This window comes from Homo sapiens, chromosome 11 (assembly GCF_000001405.40).
Source record: "Homo sapiens chromosome 11, GRCh38.p14 Primary Assembly".
Taxonomy (NCBI): Eukaryota; Metazoa; Chordata; class Mammalia; order Primates; family Hominidae; genus Homo; species Homo sapiens.
Genome location: NC_000011.10, coordinates 11,630,046 through 11,648,680, shown reverse-complemented (window position 1 = coordinate 11,648,680; position 18,635 = coordinate 11,630,046). Strand labels below are relative to the sequence as shown.

At 41.5% G+C, this 18,635-nt stretch overlaps 1 long non-coding RNA gene across 1 annotated transcript, besides 1 other annotated feature; it reads left to right on the top strand.

Moving 5' to 3' along the window:
• Positions 1–170: an enhancer, noted in NCBI's record as "experimental_19059 CRE fragment used in MPRA reporter constructs". NCBI's record gives its function as "activates a minimal promoter by MPRAs in K562 erythroleukemia cells, with activity observed for the non-introgressed 11:11670143 variant allele {active_cell/tissue: K562}" and the evidence as "EXISTENCE:reporter gene assay evidence [ECO:0000049][PMID:34662402]".
• LOC105376553 (uncharacterized) lies at positions 3,528–13,347 on the top strand. The gene is made up of 4 exons (XR_931034.3): positions 3,528–3,586; positions 5,897–5,967; positions 8,854–8,927; positions 12,790–13,347. It is a non-coding gene; the product is annotated as an uncharacterized LOC105376553 (long non-coding RNA).
• The last annotated feature ends 5,288 nt before the right edge of the window (positions 13,348–18,635 follow it).

Genomic DNA, 18,635 nt, shown 5'->3' with positions numbered 1-18,635 from the left:
CATATCTGGAAGTGAATTTTCTATATAATCATTTTTAATTAAATATACTTCACCAGTAAATAATATATGTGTATAATTTGAAACATTAAATATATCCAAGAGATTTAAGATAAAATAAAAAACATTCCCTTACTCCAGGCCTCTCCACCTCAGCCCCACTATGTAGAAATAACCCCTTTTTAATTAATTAGCTTTTTTTTGTAGCTAATTCCAAATTTTCGAATACAGTTGATCTTCAGACAACATGGAGGTTAGGGGTGCTGAACCCCTGTGGAGTCACAAATCTGTGTATAGCTTCTGACTCTCCCCAAACTTAACTAATAGCTTACTGTTGATTGGAAACTTTACCAGACACATAAACAGTCAATTAACACATATTTTGAATGTTATATGTATTGTATCCTGTATTATTACAATAAAGTAAGCTAGAGAAAAGAAAATGTTATGAGAATCATAAGGAAGAGAAACATATTTCCTATTCATTAAGTAGAAGTGGATAATCATACAGGTCTTCATGTTTGTTGTCTTCATGTTGAGTAGGATGAGGAGGAAGAAGAGGAGGAGGGGTTGGTCTTGCTGTCTCAGGGGTGGCAGAGGCAGAAGAGATGTAGGAGGTAGAAGGGGAGGCAGGAGAGGCAGGCACATTGGTGTAAGTTTTATTGAAAAAAATCCATGTATAAATGGACCCACATGGTTTAAACCTGTGTTGTTCAAGGGTCAACTGTCATATGCCTCTACTGATAATTTCTATTTATTTGTTTTTGACATTATCTATTGATTTTCTTTTATGTTAGAAAAGGATTTAGCTCTTTTACACCACTTTCCAATTTTCCATCCTTCACCTTCCTAATGTAATTGTACCACCATTTTTACATGATAAATAATCAGCTGTATATCATTATGACTGTGCAAATATTATTTATTTCAGAGCCTAATAAAATACTATGATTTCATTTTATTTCTCATTCTGTTTTTTATTATTCTTGGGATTTATAATTGCTTAATTTAAAAAAAAATGCATACTTTGCCATTCATGTGTTCTTAATATTTTCCAAATACTTTACTTTTAAAGAGATTCTATGGAGACCCCATCTCTTTCTTTTTATTAGAGGTGGCCCTCCTGGGGTCTTCTGTGATGCTGGAAAGTTACACATTTGTTACCCTGGAATCTCCCAACACAACTTTCCTAAGTTGTATCCGTTGCCTCCTCTTTCCCATGCCTTCATCTTTCTTGATTTACTCTCTCTTTTTGCTGGAGTGTATCTTCAAATAGCTTCCTAACAAATGGAGGTAATTTTTTTGAGTCATTCCTCAAATTTGAAATGCCTCAAACATTTTAGTTCTTCTGTTAAACTTGATGGATAGTTTGATGATGTGTAAAATTTTAAGTTAAAAAAGTTTTCTATTAGAATTTTGAAGACCTTGGTCCATAGGCTTCTATCATCCAGTGTTACTAAGAAAAAGCCTGAAGTCATATTAATTCTTATTCCATCTTTGTGACTTTTTATTTTTTCATTTTAGAATATCTTATAATCCTTTCTTGATCCTTTGTTTTCTGACATTTAATATTCATGAACTTTTAATGTGGCTCTTTTTTCACTTTTGTGCTGGATATCCTGTGTGTCCTTTCAATATGAAGACTTGTCTTGAGAAAATAACAATACCCTCCTTTTAGTCCCATTTCCACAACTTTCTCTGTTCTTTCTATAGTCATTATAATTTGTATGATAGAGTTCTTGGGTTTACCTTCTATTTAAATGTTTGTTTTCCCTTCCCATTGGTCCTCTTTTTGTCTTTTTGTTCTCTTTCCCTTCAGATTTTCTTGACTTGCTTTTTCAGGCATCCAGTTCAAGTTTCTAAGGCATGTCAATTTCCAAAAGTTCTTTCTTAGTCTCTGAGTTTTTTCTTTCTTAGTTTCCTGCTGCTTAACATATGCATTTTTTCATATGTAACTGAGGATAATAATTAGGGGGAACTATTTCCTTCTGTCTTGCATTATCTCTGATAAATAAAGATCTTTATTTCCTGTTTGTTTTGATTTCTCACATGAAAACCTTTCATGTTAGGGCTTTTCTCAATTATTTGTTTAATCTTAGTTGTCTGTTCATATTTAAGATGCCAAAATGTGTGTGTGTGTGTGTGTGTGTGTGTGTGTGTGTGTGTGTAAAAATGTGTGTGGGTTTAGGTGGAAAGTGGTGGTATTTTTCAACTGATGGCTTCACTTCAAGGAAACTGGACTTTTCCTTGAAGTCACCTCTTTTGTTGCCTCTGAAAACCCTGAGTTTTTCTAGTTAATTTTGCTAGAGAAGAAAATGCAGATCTCCTGCCTGGAGAAGAGGTGAGTGGGTTGAGTACAAAATACTTTCTGATTCTAGTGTTCTGATTTATCTGCATGCTTAGCCTTTCCAGGGTTACATGGAGCAAACTGGTTCTTTTTCATGTTCCTCCTCTGGTGTCTTCCATCTTGCCAAATCAGTAACTGTTCCTCCAACAACTTTCAATCTTCTAAAAATTTGTTGAAATCTGTTATATGCCGATGTCTCCTTTCTCATTCTCTATGTGTGTGTGTATGTTTTAAATTATTCTTTTTATCATATTAGTGGGAACACAGAATGAAGAAGCAATAAGCACATGCTAGCAAACTGCCATCTGTAATCAGAATTCTAGGTTACATAATTTTTATTGATATTGCTATAATGAACACTTTTTTGTGCCTGTAGCATTTTTCTCCTTTTGCATTTATGGATTAGTGTAGGATCAAAAGCACAAGTAAGAAATTAGATTTAAATAGTTAGAAGGAGACTTTATCCCACATTTCTGAAGCTGGGAAGAGTTGTAAGGAGAATTCGAGGCTAATGGGAATGGAGATGAAGAGCTTTGTGTCATATGTTTTTATTTCTTAAATGAGATTATTTGTAGAGTGATGGGATTATAAATGCTTTTGACTCTTTAAGCAAATGGGGGATGGGGAGGGCATCTAGAGCACTTTTCTTTGAGAAGTAAGGTGTTATACAAGAGCAACTTCTCCATCCTCAGCTTTTTGCCTGAGGCAGACCCTGTTGTCAGCCTAAATGACTTAACTTCTCAAAGAAATAAAATTTTCCCTGGGAAATAAAAGGCATTAGTTCTGAGGGCCAGATATCTTCCAGGGATTGTGTCTGGGTGTGCTCAAGTCCTCTGCTTCTTCCATATTCCAGCCCCATTGAGCCATGGGTATGTGGAGATCCCAGATAATAAAGAAAAAGCTTGCAATGCTTTTCTAGCAGGTAGAAGTTGCTCCATGAGTGCTCCGTCCTATAGTTTGAATGTGTTTCCCAAAAGTTCATGTGTTGGTAACTTAATCCCTATGCCCTTGAGAATAGATTAATAGATTAATGAGGGCTTTTCTCTCATGAGTGGATTAATGTCACTATCACAACAGTGGGTTTGTTGTTTTGGTGGTGGATGTCTTATAAAAGTGAGTTCTCTCTTGCTCTCTTGCTGTTACCCTTTTGCCATGTGATGCCCTCCACCATGTTATGATGCAGCAAGAAGGCCCTCACCAGATGCTAGTGCCATGCTCTTGGACTTCTCAGTCTCCAGAACCGTAAGCCAAATAAGTTCATTTTCTTCATAAATTATCCGGTCTGTGGTATTCTGTTATAGCAACAGAAAATGAACTAAAACACTCTGTATCAGGAATGGAACCAGCTACCTGATAAAGCTTCCCCCAGAAGAAACGTCCTTCTCTTTAGTTGGTTAACTTTGGATTCTGGGTGTCAACTCACTGAACTGTGATTTGTCCCAGGAGGCTCATTGCCCATTCTCAGCAGTACCTGGTCCCTCAGTGCCTAGGGCCAAACCAGGTGCAGGTGGGCTTATAGACCAGAGTACAAACTGAATGAATTGTCTTATTCCCTCCTAGTCTCTCATTTGAACCATGAACTCTTCCAAGCTTTTATTTCTTACATTTCTCCAACAAGGACTCATGTAACAAAGTGAGCATAGAAGAGGCACTAATAAAAATCCCTGTTATCTAAAAAATTAGTCTAAAGAGGAGTGTGGCAAATGACAACTCCACCCATTTGCACAGCATTTGACAGTTTTCACAGCCCTGTTTTTCTGCATTGTCTCATTTGTCCTCACCACAACCCTGGGGGGTTCTCAAGATAGTGGACAGCATCTTTCTTTTACAGATGGTGTGATTGAGGCCCGGTAAATTACATGACTTATGCAAGGTCATGCAGCTAATATGTGTCAACAGAAGGTCTTTGTTCCAGGTCTTCTGACTTCAAGACCAAACTTATTCCCAAAGTATCATATGGTTTTGGAAAAATAATAACAATAATGAGACTTTTAAATCACCCACATAAGAAATACCCATGAAATAATAGCATATTTTACCCAGACATCTGAGTCTGCTTTCAAGAGATTTTTATACTTTGGGGTCTATCTATTATTTGATTGACTGAGTAATATTCAAGTTGTTTTAACTCCAAATCATTCATTCATTCATTTATTCACTTGCTTAGAAAAACATCCACTGGTTGCTTAATTTGTGTCCAGTACTAGTTGGTAGCTAGAAAAAAAAAATATTGACTATAGTCTATGACATCGAACAGTTTAGCATAAAAGTGTAGGATATAACAGGCAGCATATGAATTTCCTATTGTTGCTGTAAGAAATTGCCATAAATATAGTAGCTTAGAACAACTCAAATTTATTATCTTGTAGCTCTAGAGGTCAGAAGTTTGAAGAGTCTCATTAGGCTAAAATCAACATGTTCGCAGGGCTGTCTTCTTTCTGGAGGCTGTAGGGAAGAATCTGTTTTCTTCCCCCTCCCAGCTTCTAGAGACCTCCAAGAAGGTGATCTCTTTCATCTTCAAACCCAGCAATACCTGGTTGAGTCCTTATGACAATGCTATATTTTTAGTTATGGCTCTTCTGCCCCCGCTCTTCTTCATTTAAGGGCTCTTTTGATTATATTGGGCTTTCCTGGATAACCCAGGATAATCTCCCTATCATAAGGTTAGCTGGCTAGCAACCTTAATTCCCTCTGCTACTGTAATTCCCCCTCACCATGTAACATAATATGTTTTCAGGTTCTAGGGATTATAATGTAGACATCTTCAAGGGCTCATTATTCTGTCTACCACAGATAGTAAGTGATCTCATCTGGAAATAACAATAAGATTATAATTCGAGGTATCATGTACGTGGTGCCAAATGAGTATTATAGACCACAAATGCAGAAAGCAAGAAGGAACGTCCTCTTCTGAGTGATCAAGAAACTCTTCATATTAGACAAGTGCTATGGTTTAAATATTTGTTCCTTCTGAGACTTACATTGAAACTTAATCCCCATTGTAACAGTATTATCAGGTGGGGCCTCTAAGAGGTGACTGGATCATGAGGCCTCTGCTCTCATGACTGGATCAATTCATGCATGGATTAATGGGCTAATGGATTGATGGGCTATCATAGGAGTAGGTTAGTTATCACGATAGTGGGTCTGTTACAAAAGCCGGTTTGACTCTCAGCGCACCCCTCTTGTCCTGTGATGCCTTTCGCCATGTTATGATGCAGCACGAGTTCCTCACCAGAACTCACCAGACCAGAGGCAGCTCCTCAACCTTGGACTTCTCAGCCTCCAGAACTGTAAGAAATAATATTTTCTTCTTTACAAATTACCCAGTCTTAGATATTCTGTTACAGCAACAGAAAATGGACTTAGACAGCAAGGAAACTGAATAAGCAAAGTTTCTTGAGTAGAATGAACATGGCCACAGGGAGTCACAAGAGATTTTTTTAAGCAGGGAGAATGTAATAAAGGCAGTTTTGAGTGGATGAATCTGGTGTTTGGTTATCTATGAACCTCATTAGAATATTACTGGCTCTGTCCCTCTCTGTTTCATAGAAGGAAAACCTGAAGTCTAGGGAGTTGGATGTCTCATGAGAAAGTCAGCTGACAAAGCCACTGGCCAGATGGTAAGGGGGTTTTTCGCAGTTCTGGAGAGAGAAGGAGGCTCTAACTTTTGCCACTGCTCATGACTGTTCTCAATAAAACAAAATCTGTTTGAATTATTCCCAGAATACCACTAAAATTAGTTCTTTCTGTCTTTACTTCTGGTCATCTTCTCTTATGGGGTATGCATTTTGCAGAACCTGCTGCTCTATGTCCCTATTCAGTTGTAATTGAGGGATGGGAGGAAGGAACATAGGTTGGGATAAGAGGTATTTTCTTGAAACATTCTGGGAGGTCTTTTTCTCCAGTATTGCCATTAAAGTCACATTGGGTTATCAACTCTGGGCCCTTACCTAAAGCTTCAGCTCCATTTTTTTGCTGCTCTTTCATAAAATGTGAGGCAGCACAGTGCAGAGGTAAAGCACAGGGGAGAGAAGCAGAAGAGCTGGCTCCTAGCTCTCTTTTGTGAGCTAGCTCTGGGACCACAGGCAAGTCACTTTTCCTAGTCTTATTTCTCCACCTGTTAAATGGGTTGGCTTGACATGACAGTGGTCTTCAGGTTCATTTGAGTTCTGAACCTCTGTAATTATGATTCTATGACTTAGCATCAATGGAGCTCCCACTTGTGGAGGTCAAAGGTGGATCTACTTCTACCACTCATGTGTCCACCTCCCCATTTCCCTGACTTACTTTATGCTTCATGTTCATTACCTGTTTGGTGTCTTTCTCATCTTGGTTTGGCAACCCTTTCATGAAGATGTCCCAGAATGTGTGTCATTGGGTGTCACTTATTCTCTGATCCTTCCATTCATTCATCCAACAATTAAGCACCTATTTGTGCAAGGTGAGGCAGCTCCATCTTTCTAAGCTTTCCTGTTAGGTAGGAAGGAAGTGCAATCCAGGCTTTTCAAATCATGGACGTCAGAGAATGTCTGAGTTGGAAGGACATTTAGAAACTATGACTCAATAGCCTTCCTTTCACAAACAAGGAAACAAAAGCCTAAAGAGATGAAGTGATTTGCCTAAAATCACATGGCTGAACTGGGAATGTCAGAACTGGGACTGGAGTCAATTTTCCAGTTTTCCAGCCCAGTTCTGCCTTCTCCCTCCATTATCTACCATATTCTATTAACTGCTTTGGAAACAAAACTGTAATGAGCCCTAAATTATTTTCTCCTTTAGCACAAAGAATTTTTAATTGGGGAAGGATGTGCCCAAATTTGTGATGAGAAACAATGAACACAGCCTCAGTGGAATTACTGGGCCATGGCCCATTGTTTCAGCAAAGGCATCCTATAAGGGAAGGAAAAAGAAGATGAGGAAGGAGAGAATGCAGACCTTCTTTGTTCTCAAACCTTTTGTCTCTCTATTAGGCTGTGTTTGTTTGCCAAACATGAGCCTGGCAAATTGCATGCCCCAAGTAATCCCGACCATCTACTCCGACTCCTCAATACTGAGCTTGGCAGCTGATAGCTCAGCCTGTTGCATTGCCAAGCTGGATGAATAGACCTCAGCCAAGTTCTGGCTGTGAAAAGAGGCCTTGGGTACAAGGGCCCCATGCTTTTTGTGATCCAGTGGGGACAGGTCACTGCCTGGCTTATTTGTCTTCAAACCAGGCCAACCCACTCCACACCACGTGGGACCAAAACGAGAGGCCAGCCTCATAGCAGCAATAGGGCAATTGCCTTTGACCTCTCTCTTCACTCCCGCTCTGGTGTTGTACTCTCTACCCCAATCTGGTTTCTACCAGCTCCCCAAATTTTTAGCTTCTAAAAGCTTGTCTCCTATTCCTAGCTCCATCAAGTTAATACTTTAACTTATCCACCAGATTTATTTGGCTTAACTCTTGGTTCTTCCCTGAGTGATGGATTATACTTATCTTTCAGCTCCTCCCACTCCTGGTCACTTTGGGTTAAAACCCAGGCCAATTTTCATGAGATCTGGTCCCCAGAAACTCCTTTTCTTTACCCCAGGGAGTGAATTACTTGAGTGGGCTTGTTCCTATTGGCTTGCCTTAGTTTTCTACATCTAAGCCATTGTGCCTGTCTCTAGGACTCACTGAGTGCTCTCCTCCAGAAACTGCCTGCATCTGCCACTCTTATGTTCACCTCCTCGTCTTCCTGTCTTTATGCTTCACTTTCAGAACCTGCTTTGGCTGTCTTCCTCATCTTGGTTCTCCCACCATAGCAACTTACCAGCTCTGGGCTCTGATTTGGCATCACTGGTACCATTAGATAAGAGACCTCCCCCTCATCTCCAGTAGATCCCTTACTTACTGGGTGAAATCTCAGCTCCTTCATTCCCATGCCTTGGTTCCACTACCAAGGAAGAAATATTTAGAAATGACCAGTGGTTTTCCTGCGGTACTTTTAGCTGAATGTTTTGAATCTCTTGTATACACTGGAATTTGAAATTAACCACAGACTCCTATGGTTAAGAACAGCTGAAAGATCAAGCCTAAACATTTCTCAAATTGTGGTTCTGTGACCATCTCCATCAGAGTCCCTTATTAAAAATATAGATTCCAGGCCATCACCTCAGATCAAATGAATTAGAAACTTGGTGGGGGCTGTAGGGGGAGATTATTAGATTGATTATTAGATACCAGAAAATTTGATAACTATTGATTTAATTTATCTCCCAGGTTTCAGTTGGTATCTTATTTAAGCTATCCATAGCAACCCCTCTGGTCTAGGTGGTTCTTGAAAAAGGGAGATTTCAGAAGCCACCAGACTATTAAAGAAACATTGATATTATGTGTATTCACTATATTAAAAAATCAGTAAGTTTATTAGAAATCTTTCTTACATAGACTTCTGAGTAGGCCCAGTGGGGGATACTAGTTGACTAAAACACTCAGACTAGCTATAATTCTAAAGTAAAGGCACATATTTTCATTTGCATCTCAGGGAAACAAAGACAGTATGGGGACAGCTCACAAAAAGTCTCCACCTTGTCAGAGTGGAGCCGTCAACTTTGGCAGGTAAGTCTGTTCTGATGGTTGTGATAAGTGAAAGTACATGTGGTGAAGAAAAAGTGGGTCATCATTTTGAGATCCAAAAATTGACATAAAATTGTACGTGAAGGTAAATCTCTGTGAGAGATAATTATCAAATTAACAGAAGCTTATGGAGAGGAAATAAAGTCAAAATACGTAAAGATGATAGGGAAGATAGCTGGAGTGCTGGAAGGATCTGTATAGAACCATAGATTTCTGACTGGAAGGGGCCTCAAAAATCACATTGATGGAGAGTTTCAAATTCTTTTAAGCTCTTGGACTCTTCTATCAAACAAAATCTTATGCAGAAAGCTAACATGTAAAACAAATACAGAGTTGCTGTGGTTGGGGAGAATGAGAGAGAGACAGAGAGAACATGTTAATTAGGATAGGCTAGGTTATGTGCAGTAACAAACAATCCAAACATTTTATCAGCTGTTATAACAACAAAGACTTTTCCAGTTCATGCTGTATGTCTATCATGGACGGACTCGGTCAACTCTACAGTTCCCTGCTTCGGGTCCCAAGCTGATGGAGCAGCTCCCATTTTGATCACTGATGGTTACCATGATGAAAGAAAAGTACAACTCTGACAAATGTTGCATTGGCAATTAAATGCTCCAGTTTAAAAAAAGTGACACAGAGTACTTCTACCCAGGTTGCCCTGGTCAACATCAGTCACATGGCCCTACATAACCACAAAGAGGCCAAGAAGCGCAATCCTACCATATGCCCAGAAGCTATTTCCTACTGAAAATATTTAGTGAACACCACTGTTGACTAGCATTGTGTGTGTGTGTGTGTGTGTGTGTGTGTGTGTGTGTGTGTGTGAGCTTTCACTCATGCCCAGTGTTATCCCTAGGTACCTGCAAGGAACTCTTAGGCTCCATGAAAACTGATTTGGAAACTACTAAATTAGCTCCCTTATTTCATAAATGAAGAAAACTGAGGTCAATTTACTTACTTAAGGTAAGATAATATCAAAACCTAGGCCAGAATGTAGGTTTTCTTTGCTCTCAGTCCAAGGCTCCTCCCATTTTTGCTCTGAATGTGGTGTGTGTGTGTGTGTGTGTGTGTGTGTGAGAGAGAGGGAGAGAGAGAGAGAGAGAGAGACAGAGAGAGAGAGAGAGAGAGAGAGAGTGGTGACTCAAGAGTTAAATGTAGATGAAGAATAGACTGGTTCTGAAGGGAAATGTGAACCTGAGGAAATTTTCCGTGAAGGCTCCCCATGCATTCCAAGTGACAAATAGATGCAGTAAAGACATTATATTTGTTCTGATTACCCAAAGGATGCTGGGCAACATAAAGAGTTTCTGAAGAGAACAGCAACTGATGATGAAGCGTGGTGCTCCTAATGGAGTGAAGAAACCAAGCAGCAATCACCAACTTTGCAGGGACCTGGGGGAAATGTTCATGTTGAGATCACAAGTAAGGAGGGCATCAACTGTTTTCATTCAAGGCAAGGGCATTGTACAGGGAGCATTTATCCCACAGGATTAAGCAGTTCCATTGGTTTCAACAAACATTAGCAATCACCCACTCTGCTCCAAGCACAGTGTTAGGTGCCAGGAAGCCGAAGACAAATAGCACATGGTGAAAAGAAGAAATGGTCAGACCTGGACGTAGTGCTAGGGAGGACTAAAAAGCCACAGGACTTTGAGACTATTAGTATGTGTGTGTTGAGGGGTGGGTCATGATGAAAGAAAATAATTTCTAGACTGACTCCTAAGTTTCTCTTCTTCTAGAGTTTATCAATGGGCATTCAGAGCAAGACAATTTATTGGGCAGGTCTATCCCATATATAGCACCATATGTAACGTTTCTGCACTCATGCTCCATTCTTTGTCATTCATTGTGAACACATACACACACACACACACACACACACACACACACACACACACACACATCTCTATATGTCCCTGGAGGGGCAGTACAGGCACTGGAAGGAATGTGGCTTTGCAGTCAGCCTCACCAGGTTCCCACCCAGGTTCTGCTACTTTCTAGTTACAGGGCTTTTGTGTTAGGCAGTTCTTGCGTTGCTATAAGAAAATACCTGAGAATGGTTAATTTATAAAGAAAAGAGGTTTAATTGACTCACAGTTCAGCAGGCTGTACAAATGTGGTGCTGATGCCTGCTCAGCTTCTGGAGAGTCCTCAGGGAGTTTTTACTCATGGCAGAAGGCAAAGTGGGAGCAGGCACATCACATGGCAAGAGTGGGAGCAAGAGAGAGAGTGGGGGAGAAGTGCCACATGCTTTTAAACAAATGGATCTCATGAGAACTCACTATTGCAAGGACAGCAGCACCAAGCGTGTTTAGAACTGGTGTGTTCTGATCCATAGCTTGCCACCACTCTGGCACTTAGTAGCTGCTCATTAGTTAGTGAGCTCGCATTGCAAGGTGAATTATGTCTTTAGTGAGCTTGTGAGTAACATGGAAGTAGGGATTCAAAGTCTATGTAAGTCAGGGATCTTCTGATGGCAAGGATGCCCATTCACTGGAACTTAACTGTGGTAGGGGAATCTCATGAAATGCAACTGTAGGACTGTAGAGAACTCTCTGTCTCTCTGTGTGTCTCTCTTTCTTTCTTTCACATGGCTTTCTGTTTCTGCCTTCCCTCAGCATTTCTCCTTTTTTCTTCTCTCTTCAACTGGTTTCTTGGCGTCTCTGTTTACCCATCTACTTGTATATAGTCCACCATGGCTGCCCTAAAATGGTGGTCTTACCTCCCTGCTCTGTACCACTGTCTTCCTTTCCTCCCCATTGCTAACAGATTTAGTCATTTGTGTCTCAGTCACAAATTCCTGGGCTAGCTTCTGGCTGAGAGGCTTCCATTTCCTGTCCAATCAGCTTTGCCAGGCTCGAGACTCAGGGTGGTGGGAGAAGCAGGTGGCAAAATGCATAGCGCTGCCCCTGCCAGGGCTGACAGTTTCTCTAAGAGGAGAGTGTGGGTAGGAAGGAGATAGCAAATGTCTCTGGGACAGTGTCCTGTCCATCGGGCTTTGTATTATTTCTGTGTTCAGTGAAAGAGAGATGAACAAAGACAGAAAGACAGGATTTGGTGGCAGAGCAAAAGTGGCCATCATGCTGACTCGCTTAATTTTTGTTTTTTCTGGCCACTGCACTGCTGCCTTCCTTGTTTTGTTATTGTTTTGACTGTTTGTAATTCCTTCTGTGGTGCCTCCAGGAGCACCATCTCAGTTTTGATGAGATCCAAGGAAGTCCTGTCACTTGCCCTATTGTGTATGTACACCCCCTCCACTCTGGTCTGCTCAGGATCAATCCCTTGAGGGTAGTCAGAATAAACCTTAAAGCAGAGCTTAATTGATCAAAAATACTTGAAGAAAGTGAAGTTATAGATGTCAGTAACATCTAAGACAAAGAGGACTCTCCTTCCCTTCCTATGACTCTCAATAGTGGAATCCCCTAACTCTTCTTACCCCCATTACTGACTATGTAAATCACACCTTAATGTGTCTGATGGCCCTGAATTGACGGTCATGTCAGGAGGGCCTCTGATCTGACACAGGCAGTTTAGGAGGCTGTGGTAGAAATGGGTTCTCCACTGGGGGCCTGGGAAGTGCAGGGTTAATGTAGAGGAGGAGAGGAGCTGAAGTACTGTAAGCAGGAACACGAAGAAGGGAGAGCAGCTTGTGCGGGGCTGCAAGATCATTAGCCATAAAGGGCAGGGACAGGGACTCGTGAGGAGGATGAGGTGGTACCATCTAAAAGTGTCAATGCAAAGGGTAAGCATTCTCTGCTGCTTCTTGTTTGCTCACTTTCTCAGATGCCCCAATCACAAAATATTTCTGGTTCCATTTTTTTTCTTTTTTTTTCTTCAACAGACAACCTGATGCCATCATGGAGGCTGAAAATCCTCACACCTTTCATTCTGTCTAGGGCTGACTGGAACCAGGGCTGGCTGATCAGCTGTCAGGCTGCTCTTTAGCGAAGCTTGGAAAGTTCCAGCAAAAGCCCTGCCTTTGAACCGGAATCACTCTGCCACCATCTGCACATGGATCCTTTGTAGTGGAGACAGTGATCTTTGTTCTGTATAAAAACAGACTGGAACTCTTCTTGGGCCTGTCCCTCTGCTGACAATTCCAAGTAATGCTTTATCATCCCCAAGTGCATTGCGTTGCTTTAATATCTGGCAGAGCGTGAATTGTAAACACATCATTAGACTTAAAGGCTGCCCTGAGATGGTGGCTGGAGGAGAACGGGGCCTGAAGAAAAGAGGAATTTGGCTGAAAATGAGCTGCTGAATAATTTATCATGAATTGAAATGTCAATACCTTAAGTGAGGCATGGTGAAGCTTCAGAACTCAGAGGTAAACACTGTGAGGATGTAATTCTGGAGAGAACATTATCAAAAGCAGTGGCTCTTCGGAAAGAGCAGGAGGCAGAGGGACCCTGGCTGGGTGTGGGCTGAGTCTGATGAGGAGGTTGGGGGTGGGGAGGGGGTACAAAAGGAGAAGCAGAGCAGAGCTTGCCTTGGAGCTGCACCATCTGAGCTGGAGGACAGGTGAAGCCAGAAAGGAACTGGGGAAAGTTAAGAACGAAGTGAGAGCTGTTAAGTAGGAGTGTCAAGAAGGCCTGACCAGTGGGCCCAGGAAAGCTTCTTGGAGAAGGGAGGACCCAGGATTTGATGAAGGGAGATGAGGTGGAGAGAATTTCATTAGATGTGCTATTAAGGGGTAGCAGGAGAGAAGTTGAGAAGGCTGGTGGTGGGTGCAGGTTGAAGAACACTGTGCAGAAGAATGGGAATTTGTTGAAGCTGAAATGAGAGCTCCTGCAGATCTTTTGACAGGAAATTGACATTCATTCAGCAAGTATTCAACATATAATTGAATAGCTATGTTCCAGATTCTGTGCTGGCGCTGCACACAGGTCTCTGGCCTCAAAGAACTTATATTCTAGTGAGGGAGACAGATAACCAAAAAATAGCCACCACATTTGTTTTCCTGAGTGTTTGACTTGCATCTTATTCTTTGCCACAAGGTTAGGAAGTAGGTGAAATAATTATCTCCATTTTACAGATGAAGAAACTGAGGCTTAAAGAGGGTAAGTAATTTTCCCAAGGGAATTCAACTAGTAAATGGTAGAGTTAGAACTCTATCCTGCAATTATGCAGTTATAATTTGGGCTAAATGTTTGGATGGGAAAGTATATGAGGCTGTGGACCAGTGTTGGACACATGACTGACTGTTCAGGGGGCCAGGGAAATGTTACTGAGAAAGGAATTAAGATGAAACCCGATGAGCTGGGGCGATGTGGTGGGGTAAGAGTGGCTTGTACAAGGTCCCAGAAGTGGGAGGAAGATGGTAGAGGCGAGATCTGGCAGGTCTTTGGAGGTCTGTCAAGGAGGCTAGACTTCATCCCAATGGCAATGAGAAGCCACTGAAGGGTTCTAAGAGGGGAAGGATGAAGAGAGTATGTGTGACAGAGTCGATTTTGCATTTTTAAAAGATTGCTCTGGCTGCTTTGTGGAGAATTGATTGGTGGGGCCAGAAGTGCAAGCTGCTGGAACAGTGAGGAAGTTGAGAAGCAGGAAATAAGTAAACCAATAAACGCGTCAACCTCTTGAGTATTTATAAGAGGGTTCCTCAGCCCCTCGCTCAAAGCCTTTTTTCCCTCATTTACATCCAATTCTAATAATTCAGGTGCTTGTTTTCCCAATTTATAGCAGATTAAGAGTCACAATTTAGAAAAGAATTTGGGAATGCAGTGAGTGTTGAAGGGGGAAAGACACTGGCAATTATGAAAAGTGACAGTTTGATTTTAAGGAAAGACAGACATGAAAAACATTTAAAATATTAAAACAAACCAACTGCACAGCAGGGTGGGACTATTCAGTGGAAAGGCAAATGACCCTATCCAATGTCATCCTCCCATTTCAGGCTAATATTTGATATCTTCAGTGATTAATTTGAGACAACAACAAAAAAATGAGTCAACAATGACAAAATGTGATGTTCAATAACCTCTGTTTAAAAAGACAGGAACGAAAAAGAGCGACTCCACATTTCCAGTGGCCCTTCAGGGTGTGAGTGGGAATGAACCCAAGATGGCCGTGAGGCCTGGAACCGTGCGTTTCCCTTTCAGTCTCCAAGGCCAGCTGTCTCCCCCTGCATGAGGGGTTGCTGAAGTGGGGGGAATGGAGCTTGGTCAAAATCTCCAGCCCCTCATCAGTGAGCCCGGAACATGAGCTGAGGCAAAACCACCACAGCAACCATGGCAGCTCTGGGCCTCCTTCGGAAGCTGGGCTGGAAAATTCTGTAGGCCACTGCAGGCTTTTAGGGATTTAGAAAGGTCCCTGCTGCTAGAGGGCTTCCAAAGAGAAGCAGAGGGAGTAAACCAGGGTCCCCAAACCTAGTACCTTTTAGGAACCGGGCTGCAGGGCAGGAGGTGAGCTGCCATGAGTGAGCATGACCGCCTGAGCTCTGCCTCCTGTCAGATCAGCTGCAGCGTTAGATTCTCGTAGGAGTGCGAAGTCTATTGTGAACTGCGTCTGCCAGGGATCTAGGTTGTGCACTCCTTATGAGAATCTAATGCCTGATGATCTGAGGTGGAACAGTTTCATCCCCAAACCATCTTCTCTCTATCCCGCCCCCAAACCAGTCCCAAAAATGTTGGGAACTGCAAGAGTAAATCTTTCTGTGCGGGACTCTGGATCTGACCATCCGAGGGTTGGCGCAGTCCCCTTCCCTGGTGTCCTCCCTTGCTGTTGTTTTTTGTGTGTGTCTTTCCTTGAAATCAAACTGTAATTGCCAGTGTCTTTCCGCCTTGAACACTCACTGCATTCCCAAATTCTTTTCTAAATTGTTAGTCTGTTATAAATTGGGAAAACAAGCACCTGTATTATTAGAATTGGATGTAAATGAGGGAAAAAAAGGCTTTGGGCAAGGGGCTGAGGGACTGTCTTATGAATAAAGTATTCAAGGGGTTGACACATTTATTGGTTCACTTATTTCCTGTGGAGGAACCGTTGCTCTCGTGTGCAGGTAGGGGTCTAACTGTACCTACCTGCAGCCAGCCCAGGGCAGGATTTCGGGCTGTGGGAACCACCCAACCTTGGCCTGCCACCGCAGACTTCAGCTGCCAGCTCCCCCAGCTCCTCCCTGCTAAATGAATAAATAAATGAATGTCAATTTCCAGTCAAAAAATCTGCAGGGGCTCTCATAGGCTGGAGCGTGCTGGACTCCCAGCCTGACACCCTCGGCACCCATGCAATCAGACATGCAGGCACGAACCAGCCCCCCTCAGAGACATCCTCGATCCTTCACAGCTGGGGGCGTCGGGCCCCAGCCCCAGGCTGCATCTGGTTTCCTCAGTTATCTGATTGGGATGGTTACAAGTGTGATCAGGAATTGGGCCAATGGAAGACGCCCGTGCAACTTCTTCTATTTCAGGGGCCTTATTTTGTTGCTTTTGTAAGTATAGTAAACAGACTAAAAAGTAAAGTTTTTGTGTTATTTGGTTAAGATCTAGGAAGCTGAAGTAGGAAAACAAAATACTGTCTGAAGAGTGGGGAGGCTTCTGGGGTGTCAATTCTGTACAGATTTAGATGTATTTATTGCCTCCTCCAACAATCCTGGAATGTCAGTCTCCACTGATTTACCCCAGACATTAGAATTCCACCTGGGAAGCCAATTAAGATGAAAATCTTCAATAGAAGACAACTGAGAAGGTCTGAGAGGCTTGTTACCCAGTTATACCATTCCAGTTGGGAACTATGACCATTGGAAGGATAACTGCTGAAGCCATGATGTCTCTTGCACAACTTTTTCTAACTTGAGTTTTAAGTATATTTTTTGTTGCTGTGTAAATATATTTTTTAATTGTTTTCAAATTGTTTGTTGGAGTGTAAAAGCAATTGATTTTTCATATATGATTAATAATATAACCAGCAATTTGTTAAACTATCTTGTCAATTATAATAAATTGACACTTATTTGGAGTTCTCTAAATATCATCTAATCATAATGACAGTTTGATTTTTTTTTTTTTTTTTGAGATGAAGTCTCGCTCTTGTCCCCCAGGCTGGAGTGCAATGGTGCGATCTCGGCTCACTGCAACCTTCGCCTCCTGAGTTCAAGCAATTCTCCTGCCTCAGCCTCCCGAGTAGCTGGGATTACAGGCTCCTGCCACCACGCCCAGCTAATTTTTGTATTTTTAGTAGAGATGGGGGTTTCACCATTTTGGCCAGGCTGGTCTCGAACTCCTGACCTCAGGTGATCCGCCCACCTCGGCCTCCCAAAGTGCTGGGATTACAGGTGTAAGCTACTGCGCCCAGCTGACAGTTTGATTTTATCTTTTTTTTTTTTTTAAAGTATATTCAAGGAAGATTGTTGTCCAAACTGAAATAAAAAGGAGCAGAAAAAGAAATTGAGTTTAAATTATCTGGAAATTCTTCTTATATGTAGAATTTATTGTTCTCTGACATTATTAGATAATATGTAATTTAAGTAAAATAAATCATCATTATTATTTTTTAGAGAAAGGATTTCATTCTTCTACCCAGGCTGGAGTGTGGTGGTACGATCATAGCTCACTGCAGCCTTGAACTCCTGGGCACAAGGGATCCTCCCACTTCACCCTCCCGAGTAGCTACATGCCTCCACGTCCTCTAGTTTTTAAAACTTTTGTGTAGAGATAGGGTCTCACTGTGTTGCCAAGAATGTTCTCCAGCTTCAGGCCTCAAGTGATCCTCTTGCCTTCGTCTCCCAATTCTTAAGTATGTTATTCATTAATTTATTAAATAATTATATGGTACTATAGTAGGCTCTGAGGTTTTTATTGTGAGTAAAACTCAGGGATCCATCTCTGCCCTCCAAGAGTCAATAGACTAAGGTTGTTTTCCACTTAGTAGTCAGGTGAGAGATGAAGGCAGGTTGTAGTAGAGATGTGGATATATTTGTGATGTAATTAGTAGTTAAAACCAGTACAGCCTGGTCATGGATTGGAAATGAGGCACAAAGGAGAAGGAACTGTCAAGAATAACTTCTGGACTTCTGGTTTGCACAACTGAAGGGAGATGTTGTCATTTATCGAGACTGGAACATTGAAAAAGGATCAGATTTGGAGGGGTAGGAAGGAAAGGAATGACTTTGGTTTTGCTATTTTGATTTTGAGATGCTTTTGAGTCATATGAGGAGGGATAGTAGCAGGCAATTGGATATACTGGTCTGGACTTTGGAGGAGAAACCTGATTGGAATCATCTGTTTATACAGAGTAATTGATGGTTTGGATATAGATGAAATTGGCTAGGCCTGGGGAGAGCAGATTAAGAAGAGGAGAGAGAGTTGGATGGAATCTTGAGCTTCAATTCTGATTGGCCAGGTAGAAGAGTATAGGTTGGTAGTGGGAAGAGGCAAGAGGAAGGATCCAGGAGAGCATACTGTCCTAGAAGGTAAAATAATTGAAAGTTTTGAGAAAGGAGAGAAAGTTAATGTTCAAAGCTGCTGGAAGGTTACATAACGTGAGGACTGAGAAATATCATTGGATTCAACTACATTGTGGTAATTGGCAACATTATTGAGAGCTATTTTGGAGAGGATTATTATGGTTGAAGAGTGAGTGGGAAGTGAGAAATGTTTTGAAAATGTATTAGGAAATAAATGAATCTGTATTGTATTTTGGTTTTAGAATACACATCACAAATAAGAATGTTACTAAGGCTTATGGTAA